The 10,477-nt window shown below is 36.9% G+C and overlaps 1 protein-coding gene across 10 annotated transcripts in view; it reads left to right on the forward strand.

Annotated features, from left to right (window-relative positions):
* Positions 1-10,230, forward strand: part of CD109 (CD109 molecule) — a 149,122-nt gene extending 138,892 nt beyond the window's left edge. For all 10 annotated transcript variants that reach the window (XM_047418211.1, XM_047418212.1, NM_133493.5 and 7 more), the window contains 3 exons: positions 305-452; positions 2,378-2,480; positions 5,375-10,230. In XM_047418211.1, coding sequence (XP_047274167.1) covers positions 305-452; positions 2,378-2,480; positions 5,375-5,550 — 427 coding nt within the window. In that variant the 3' untranslated portion in view covers positions 5,551-10,230. The remainder of the gene's footprint in view (positions 1-304; positions 453-2,377; positions 2,481-5,374) is intronic.

Below are 10,477 nucleotides of genomic sequence, written 5' to 3' on the forward strand. Positions count from 1 at the left end.
AAAGGATGTATATTGTACTGTCACAGTTTATAAGCACAAGCCTCTTACATTGCAGGCATTGCATACTATCTGTCAGATGAACACATTGTTGTATCATTATTCCTTATATGGTTAAAAGTTTCAAGATTACCACACATGTAAGAAAATGATAACCTGTTTTAAAATTCTCTATAGGGAATTTTATTTGAACTCAAACAGTGTTTGGAATAACATTTGGTGGGTTTGATTTTTGTATGAAGATAATTTGATAACAGCTATGGGTTTTTCCTGAGGAGTTTTCATTCATCCTCCCTCTTTGATTTAGCTTTTCGGGCCCGGGTAGGAGTGGCATGGCTCTTATGGAAGTTAACCTATTAAGTGGCTTTATGGTGCCTTCAGAAGCAATTTCTCTGAGCGAGACAGTGAAGAAAGTGGAATATGATCATGGAAAACTCAACCTCTATTTAGATTCTGTAAGTAGTAAAACATAAGGTAACTGTTGACAAAGCCACTGTGTTTTGTATTCAGGTGTCTACCTTACTTTAAGTATGTTTTCTTTAATTCATTGTTATTTCAACTTTTTGTGTCCCTGAATGAGTTTAACATGGCAACCATATATTTATCTCCATTAGAAAGACATAAGTATAAAATCAGTTTAGAGAGTTGCTATTAATGACGAGCCTGATGAAGGCCTTCATAACTAAATCTTTATGTCATGCCAGATGTGAAATACATAGAAATTTCCATAGTATAATTAAAAAAATTCAACCCAGATCTGAATTTGAGAGCCTGTCTGCCTCAGGGAGTTGCCTAGGCTGGAGTGCAGTGGTGCAATCGTAGCTCACTGCAACCTCCAACTCCTGGGCTCAAGTGATCCTCCCACTGCAGGCTCCTGAGTAGCTGGGACCACAGGTGCATGCCACCATGCCTAGATAATTTCATGAGAATTTTTTGTGGAGATAGGGTCTCATTTTGTTGCCCAGGCTGGTTTTGAACTCCTGACTTCAAGTGATCTTCTGGTCTTGGCTTCTCAAAGTGTTGGGATTACAGGTGTGAGCCGCCATGCCTGGCTGGAAGACGAAAGTCTTAATTACACATTTTAAAATTCTTCCATGAAGCTTTTAACAAACCTTAAAGGGGTTCATATTCTTACCTTGAAAAATTAGGTGCTAAATCATGGAAGACTATTCTCAGAGATTTGATCTTGACATAGAATTGTTACATAACCTTCGTGTACTCTTTCCATTGCTGAATGAGTACTACTGATTCAAGAATAAAGTGCACACAGTGTGTAGGGAAAGGTAAGTGAAGAATTCCAGACTCTACTTGGTATGTCTCAAAACTGGTGGTATGTAAGTTTATTCTTTTCTTATAGCATCTATATGAGCTTCATAGGTTGAACTGATATTGAGTTCATAGTATTCTAAGGATTTCATATTACATGGGTGGGTTTGTATGTTTCTTATTTCAGTTTTGCTAAGTATGAATCAGAAATATATTGCTGAATATATGCTTTTAAAAAGATAGTTCTTGAATGGTCTCATTTGTTTTAGCACTTCAAAACCACTTTGGTTAAAGCCCTGTTAAAACTAATTCAGTCTCAATATAATGTTAAATAACAGTCTCTAGATTCTTTTGCTGTTTAGGAATTATCTTACATTAAGCACTGCTCAAAAGCCATTGGCCTGATTTGGAACTTGAAAAACAAATTTAAGGTTTTAGTTTAGTTGTGTAATTGGTTTTGGAGTTTGTCTTCTATCTTTGATGCTCTTGTTAATGGTTATTTTAATTTGAGTGTCCAGTACTCTTTGAGTGGTCAGTTTGACTTTTCATTTACTACTATTGGCAAATAAGGGAATGTTTGAAGGAATTTACTAATTTCTGATTCTTTAATGAGTGTTGTTGCCAAATTGGCCAAATCTGTCTCTCTTGGAGACAGATAGGCTGGCTTTGTGTACCCCATCTCAGTCATTGGCTGTGGAGTACAGCCCCATCTTAGTTACCTCACCTACTGGGTGACATGGCTTGCATGAGCTGAGGGTGATTCCCAGGAGAAGGAGGCTGCTGTGAGCCATTAGTAGTAACTGGGGGTGGGGTGCACCATCTGAGACAGGAGATCTAGGTGCATGCACCCTAAGGCTTGCTGCTTACTTAACCACTCTAATTCTCAGTATCCCATTCAGCAAAATGGAACTAAGAACAATACCTTTTTGTAAGCATTGTTTTACAAGTTAAATAAGATAGTTCATAGGAAGTACTTACTGCAGTATCTGACATGTAGAAATCCTCCCTAAGTGTTAGTCTCTGTTTCCTAAAATGATGAGAAAAAAGAAATGTCTTTACTTAATCATGAACACACAGTGTGCCAACCCCTTAAGACTCTTTTGTATTTCTCAAGGTAAATGAAACCCAGTTTTGTGTTAATATTCCTGCTGTGAGAAACTTTAAAGTTTCAAATACCCAAGATGCTTCAGTGTCCATAGTGGATTACTATGAGCCAAGTAAGTATGCTCTGGAGTTCTTAATACTTTAGAAATTAAGCCAGGCATTCATTCATTTATTGGAAGTGACCACACATTGGATTGGTTCTGTGGCGAGGGCAGGATTTGGTAGGAGAAAGTACAGGAGGCGGGGGGGCAGGAAGTGAGCATTCCATTTCAGTGAAGACTATTGATAATTTACAAGGGTCACATGATAGGTTTTAGCATATGAAATTTAAAAATGATATATTTTTTCATAATGTTTTAGATTTTTAACTCACAATTATAAACTTTACAAAGAAAAATTGGCATATAGAGTCCAGTTATGTCTCATTTGCAAGGTATTGCTTCTATTCCAAGCACCCATTCCATCTGTTTCCAGCTTTAAAATGGGAGTTCTTAATGTGGCACATATACACCATGGAATACTATGCAGCTATAAAAAAGGATGAGTTCATGTCCTTTGTAGGGACATGGATGAAGCTGGAAACCATTCTCAGCAAACTATCGCAAGGACAAAAAACCAAATGCTGCATGTTCGCACTCATAGGTGGGAATTGACCAATGAGAACACTTGGACACAGAGAGGGGATCATCACATACCAGGGCCTGTCATGGGGTTGGGGGAGGAGGGAGGGATAGCATTAGGAGTTATACCTAATGTAAATGACGAGTTAACGGGTGCAGCACACCAACATGGCACATGTATACATATGTAACAAACCTGCACGTTGTGCACATGTACCCTAGCACTTAAAGTATAATAAAAAAAATGGGAGTTCTTCTAAAAGTAGAGCTACCATTTGACCCCACAATCCCGTTACTGGATATATACCCAAAGGACAATAAATTGTTCTACCAAAAAGCCACCTGCACTCATATGTTTATCACAGCACTAATTCACAATAGCAAAGACAGGTCATCGACCTAGGTGCCCATCAACTGTGAATTGGATAAATAAAATGTGGTAGATGTACATCATGGAATACTATACAGCCATAAAAAAGAACTAAATTATGTCTTTTGCAGCAACATGGATGCAGCTGAAGGTCATTATTCTAAGTGAATTAATGAAGAAACAGAAAACCAAATATCACATGTTCTCACTTATAAGTGGGAGCTGAACATTGGGTACACATGGACATAAAAATGGGAACAGTAGACACTGGGGACTTCAAAAGTGGGGAGGGAGAGGGGGAATAAGGGCTGAAACACTCTCTATTGGGTACAATGTTCATTATTTGGGTGACAGGATCAATAGAAGCCCAAACCTCAGCATCACATAATATACCCTTGTAACAAACTTGTACATGTACCCCTGAACAGTAAATAAATAAGTAACAAATAATAAATAAAATGGGACTTCTTCAGGAGAGAACATGAACAGCATCTGCAATGCAGTAGCATCGGCTGGAGTTAGCTGTTTCTTTATTGAGGGAGTCTGGTGTTTTGCCGAAACTTACACTTGATAACAGATTTTTAAAAGTGTGTCAAGAAAAATATAGCCTGTTTGGAAAATAACTTGAGCTTCTTTGATTTTACTGGTAACTTCTTATTTGTATAAAATGATGGAAATTTAGGACGTAAAAATAGAGAGCTGGTCTGGAGATGGCCCAAGTTTAATAGGATGAATCCATGTTCAGTCAGAGGGACTTTTTGTATGTGATCTCTGGCCTAATGTTTCTAATTGTAATATGTCTTATTTTGAATAAGCGCTTGTGGTGGCTCAGAATCATCACAATGCATGAGAAGCATGAACATTTTTGTGTGTTAGGTAGTTGTAGATAATTACACTTTAAATGAGATGAACTTGTTCCCATTGTTGTTAGTGTTTCATAGAGTATTCAAGACTAAGGTGTAGCACCAGTTCTCTCCTCATAGTCAACAAGCCAGTTCCTCTTGTCTTTTGCCTCCTGTTGGCACTGAGGAAGAGGGTTCACCCAGGTTCTTGTGGGACATTTGGGAAACACTGGTGTGGCACTTTTTTTCTAGTGGAGGGATGGAATACACTGTGGAGACCCAATGACAGTAACTAGTTGTCCAACTTTATTACTTTACTTAGTTGCAAAATTCCCCAATTTATATTTCTTGGGTGCATGGGGAACATTTTAAACATTTAAGAAACAAAAATAATTCAGTCTATGCAAATTTTTATGGAAAACAACTTACTTATGAGGAGGCCATTTTAAAATGAAAATATGGGAAAGATCAGAATAAGCTAAACCTTCCAACCCATTTTAAAAAATCTCAAAACACATTTACGATATGGAAAACAGTCTCTGAAAAATCATGAATAAATTTGAAAATAGAATATGTTTTTTAAAAATTATAAAACTCATTTATGTTTTACAGTGAGTTCACTGTGGTGTTATAGGTACTTTAAGTAGTTTTTGTCATGTTCGCTTTTAGATACTATATGCTGAGTGTTTTAAAACAAGGTATTGCATAGGCAGTCTTCCCTTCATATTTATGTATTTTTTTACTAGAGCCCAGGGTAAATGCCCCTTTTCAGTAGTTCTAATGATTAGAATTTGATTTGAGTGCATAGAGAATGTCATCCTAAAATAAACTCTTGAGGAGGTTAAACAGTCCTTAACTGAAAATTCTCCCTGATGCAGTAAGAGATTAAAGTGGTGCTTGTGATTGCAGTGTGCAGCTGCAGTCTATTTGCTCTCTTTTAATGCTGGCCAACTGCTGGTGGTAGACAGATTGGACTGAGCGCATTGTTTCTCTCTTGGATTTGGTTAGTACTTTGGACCACTCTTGGACATTTCAGTTGTTTCTTGTAAAGAAAAATAAAATTAGGTTAAGAATGGAAAACTCAGAAAAGTGTATCGAAATGCTCTTATATTTTGGCAAAGTCAATGTTTCTAAACAAGGGAGCCGTGTGAACTGATGTCTGCTTCTTTGAACAGGGAGACAGGCGGTGAGAAGTTACAACTCTGAAGTGAAGCTGTCCTCCTGTGACCTTTGCAGTGATGTCCAGGGCTGCCGTCCTTGTGAGGATGGAGCTTCAGGCTCCCATCATCACTCTTCAGTCATTTTTATTTTCTGTTTCAAGCTTCTGTACTTTATGGAACTTTGGCTGTGATTTATTTTTAAAGGACTCTGTGTAACACTAACATTTCCAGTAGTCACATGTGATTGTTTTGTTTTCGTAGAAGAATACTGCTTCTATTTTGAAAAAAGAGTTTTTTTTCTTTCTATGGGGTTGCAGGGATGGTGTACAACAGGTCCTAGCATGTATAGCTGCATAGATTTCTTCACCTGATCTTTGTGTGGAAGATCAGAATGAATGCAGTTGTGTGTCTATATTTTCCCCTCTCAAAATCTTTTAGAATTTTTTTGGAGGTGTTTGTTTTCTCCAGAATAAAGGTATTACTTTAGAATAGGTATTCTCCTCATTTTGTGAAAGAAATGAACCTAGATTCTTAAGCATTATTACACATCCATGTTTGCTTAAAGATGGATTTCCCTGGGAATGGGAGAAAACAGCCAGCAGGAGGAGCTTCATCTGTTCCCTTCCCACCTCCAACCTAGCCCTACTGCCCACCCCACCCCAACCCACCCCATGCCCAGTGGTCTCAGTAGATACTTCTTAACTGGAAATTCTTTCTTTTCAGAATCTAGGTGGTGAATTTTTTTTAAGTGGCACGGTCTTTTTCTGCTTGAAATCTGATCACACCCCCCAGCCATTGCCCTCCCTCTCTTTTTCCTCTGTAGAGAAATGTGAGGGGCAGTACATTTACTGTGCTTTTCACACCATCTCAGAGGTTGAGGAGCATACTGAAAATTGCCCTGGGGGGTGCTGGGTGTGCTGTCTCCTTCCCACATCCTCAGCCCCACACCAGCTCTATTTCAGGGGTGAGAGTCAGAGAGCACTGCAATATGTGCTTCATGGGATTTCGATTCGAAGATCCTAGACCAGGGAGACACTGTGAGCCAGGGATACAACAAAATACTAGGTAAGTCACTGCAGACCGACCTCCCTGCAGTTTGGGAAAGAAGCTGGGTTTGTGGAGAATCAGAGCATCTTGACATGACTGCTGACCTAAAGATCCCTGGCATTGGCCAGGGATCCTGTGGAACCTCTTCTAGTTCAGGGGTGTGAGCATTAGACTGCCAGTTGTCTAGTGACATCTGATGCTTGCTGTGAACTTTTAAGATCCCCGAATCCTGAGCACCTCAATCTTTAATTGCCCTGTATTCCGAAGGGTAATATAATTTATCTGGATGGAAATTTTAAAGATGAATCCCCCTTTTTTCTTTTCTTCTCTCTTTTCTTTCCTTCTCCCTTTCTTCTTTGCCTTCTAAATATACTGAAATGATTTAGATATGTGTCAACAATTAATGATCTTTTATTCAATCTAAGAAATGGTTTAGTTTTTCTCTTTAGCTCTATGGCATTTCACTCAAGTGGACAGGGGAAAAAGTAATTGCCATGGGCTCCAAAGAATTTGCTTTATGTTTTTAGCTATTTAAAAATAAATCCATCAAAAATAAAGTATGCAAATGTATCTTTTAAAGTTAATTTTTAAAAATGCTCTTATTTTAGTGAATTTTCAGAAATTATAGTGGAATGGATGCTCATATATTGCTTATGGATATTTTGGATACCAAAGTAGGAATAACTGACATTCAGTATTTTAAAGCTGGCAAACCTGTACATAGAAAATAGATCCCCAGACAGTGGTCTATGAAGAGGGCAGTTAAGTATCAAATACTTAATTTTCTTGCCTTTTTTTCTTAAGTGGGGAAAAGTTTCTAGATCTCTTACACCTCTGACACAATCTGTTCTAAAACAGGCACTTGTAATGTTGGGGCCTCCTTGTAAACGTGTTTTTGCCCTTTACTCTCTGGGAGTTCTTTAAAGGTGAAATCATCTTACAAAGAAATTGGGGGAGGGTCTTGGCAAAGGACTTTCCCCTCCTCTTTCCTGGCCTGGGAACCTTATACTGACAATCAATACTTTATATTTTAAAGTATATAATTTATAGTTAACTTCTAGTGTAATATATTAGGAAACACTAGAATGGAAAGGCCATTGGAAGACAGGTTGTATCTTTTTTAGACCATATTTCCTTGTTTAAAAACTATCATTTGAATACTTTTTTGGTGAAGAACTCCATGTTTTCAAGTTAAAGGTCACCTCGTAGGCCAGGCGCAGTGGCTCATGCCTGTAATCCCAGCACTCTGGGAGGCTGAGGCGGGTGAATCACAAGGTTAGGAGTTTGAGACCAGCCTGGCCAATATGGTGAAACCCCGTCCCTACTAAAAATACAAAATTTAGCCAGGCGTGGTGGCATGCACCTGTAGTCCCACCTACTCGGGAGGCTGAGGCAGGAGAATCACTTGAACCTGAGAGACAGAGGTTGCAGTGAGCCGAGATCACGCCACTGCACTCCAGCCTGGGGGACAGAGTGAGATTCTGTCTCAAAAAACAAAAAACAAAAAAGTCACCTTGTAACTCATCTCTTTTTATTGTAAGTTTATTAAAAATGAAGAGGACAACAATGAGAAGGAACATAAAGGGTTAGCTAGCACTGTCTCCTGGTGCATGGGGCTGTGCAGATGTCCCGGCCACTTCTTCCTTCATACTTCCCTTAGAGAACTTGCTCTGCTACAAGCAGTGGGCTTGGACTAAAAGTGATTAAAATACCACAGGCATAAGGAGAAAAGGAGTATATGTAGTAGTAATAATTACTAGTATAAATTATTTTCTTCACATGCTATGAGTAATAATATTAAAAAACTCATTTTACCATTAAGATTCCTTATGCTGAAGCTCTTCCATTTAGAATACTGTCAATGTCATTTACTGGTATGAACTAAAGTCCCCCTTCTTTTCCACTCACTGGGAACCTTAGTAAAACACCAGCATATCTTACCTCTCTTTCTGACTGGCCGATGCTTCCAGAGACTGAATGTTGGGAAAACCTAGTAGCCAAACAATTCTAGGACAGAATAACATTTTTATATTTGGTTCCACCATCTTATTACATTTAGTTATAGTTTTAAAAAAGAAATTCAAGCCCATTAAAATATGTCTGGTCAATGAAATGCTTCCTTTTATTGTGTTGTGCTATTGTACTTTGTTTTTCAAAACATTGTAAAAATAGTATCTTTGGTTTAGTATTTTGGATTATATATTATAATCTGAGGAGTGTTTTGCTTATGTAGAATCCAGATATATTTCTGTTACCTAGGAGATGTTACTTACATATGTAATACTGTATCCTGCACGTGGAAATATTCAGAATTGTAGATAGCATAACTCTCCCTGCTCCTATTCTTTTGAGCCTAGGTATAATTTTTTTTTTTTTTTTAGAAAAAGACATATTTAGCTTTAATTTCTATTTATGCTAAACATATTTATAAGTAGTCTGTCAATATAATACCAACTATTTTTATTTTTACATAATTCAATTATTTCATTTGACATGTCTGGCAGACTCAAGACATTAAGTAAAAAATTGGAACTATGATTTTTCTTTGTCATTTTTTAAAAAAGAATTATTTTATTAACCTGCTGGCATATAATCTGGAGTTCTTTTCACAACCTTACTTTTTCTGATTTGCTTTATTGAATGATTGAATACTCATTTCTTTCTAAAAATATGTTGTAAATTCTCCCTTGGCAAGATTTCTCCCTATGAGGGTAGTTATTATTTGAGTCTGCCAAGTGGTTACCATGGGGCAAGGTGCCATGATGTATTCTTGGGTGCATTGGTTTTTTGCGCATTGTAAATTTAAGACACTTATAGTAAGTGGACTCATTCATAGATGAGTTTCAGAACCTTTTACGTTCTCGGTAGAGGCTTCTGTCGGACAGGCAGAAGAGTGTATTCCTCACTTTTTTTTTTGTCTTCAAATTCCAGTAAGGCATAGCACTTTTAAGAAATTAGAATTTTTCTATCATCTATGCAAATGATATTTATGTTAATATTAAATATCTTATGTTACACTGGGAGTAATTTGAGGTGCAATTATTTTTATTACTACTTTGAATAGAGGACCATTATCCTTCTTTCTTCAGAAAACTAAGAAGTAAGTGTAACTTTTAAAGTAAGTATATATCAGTGAGAGTAGGCTTGTTTTACAACTATTTCTAGCCAGTGAGTTGTGTTTTCATGTCTCATCAAAAGACAATACCACATTGCATCATTTTACAAAATATGTTGTCATTTTCATTTCAGTTGTAACATAGGAAAATAGATATTTCCTAGATGATTTCTGAGTTTCTTACTGCAAAGAACAGTTATAAATTGGTATACATGTGTCTCTGTAATAGGGATAATATTGATATATCTGTTGCTACATATTTAAGAATCATTCTATCTTATGTTGTCTTGAGGCCAAGATTTACCACGTTTGCCCAGTGTATTGAATTGGTGGTAGAAGGTAGTTCCATGTTCCATTTGTAGATCTTTAAGATTTTATCTTTGATAACTTTAATAGAATGTGGCTCAGTTCTGGTCCTTCAAGCCTGTATGGTTTGGATTTTCAGTAGGGGACAGTTGATGTGGAGTCAATCTCTTTGGTACACAGGAAGCTTTATAAAATTTCATTCACGAATCTCTTATTTTGGGAAGCTGTTTTGCATATGAGAAGAACACTGTTGAAATAAGGAACTAAAGCTTTATATATTGATCAAGGTGATTCTGAAAGTTTTAATTTTTAATGTTGTAATGTTATGTTATTGTTAATTGTACTTTATTATGTATTCAATAGAAAATCATGATTTATTAATAAAAGCTTAAATTCTCATCTATTTATTATGTGTTCTTTTTATTTTAGCATAAAGCATGTCTATAGCACACCTCCCTTATTTAAGCTTATTTATGAGAAACAGGATATTTGAGGCTAGCTTAGAGTAGGGATTATTGTGTTGCAAGGTAGCAACATAATGAAGTTGAAGAAATTTGATTACCAGCCTCCTTTACCTCCCCGCTCAGTGGAGAGGTAAGTAATACACAAATTAAAAAAATTAATGTGAGGTGAGCACTCACTTAATCTCT

This window comes from Homo sapiens, chromosome 6 (genome assembly GCF_000001405.40).
Source record: "Homo sapiens chromosome 6, GRCh38.p14 Primary Assembly".
Classification (NCBI taxonomy): domain Eukaryota; kingdom Metazoa; phylum Chordata; class Mammalia; order Primates; family Hominidae; genus Homo; species Homo sapiens.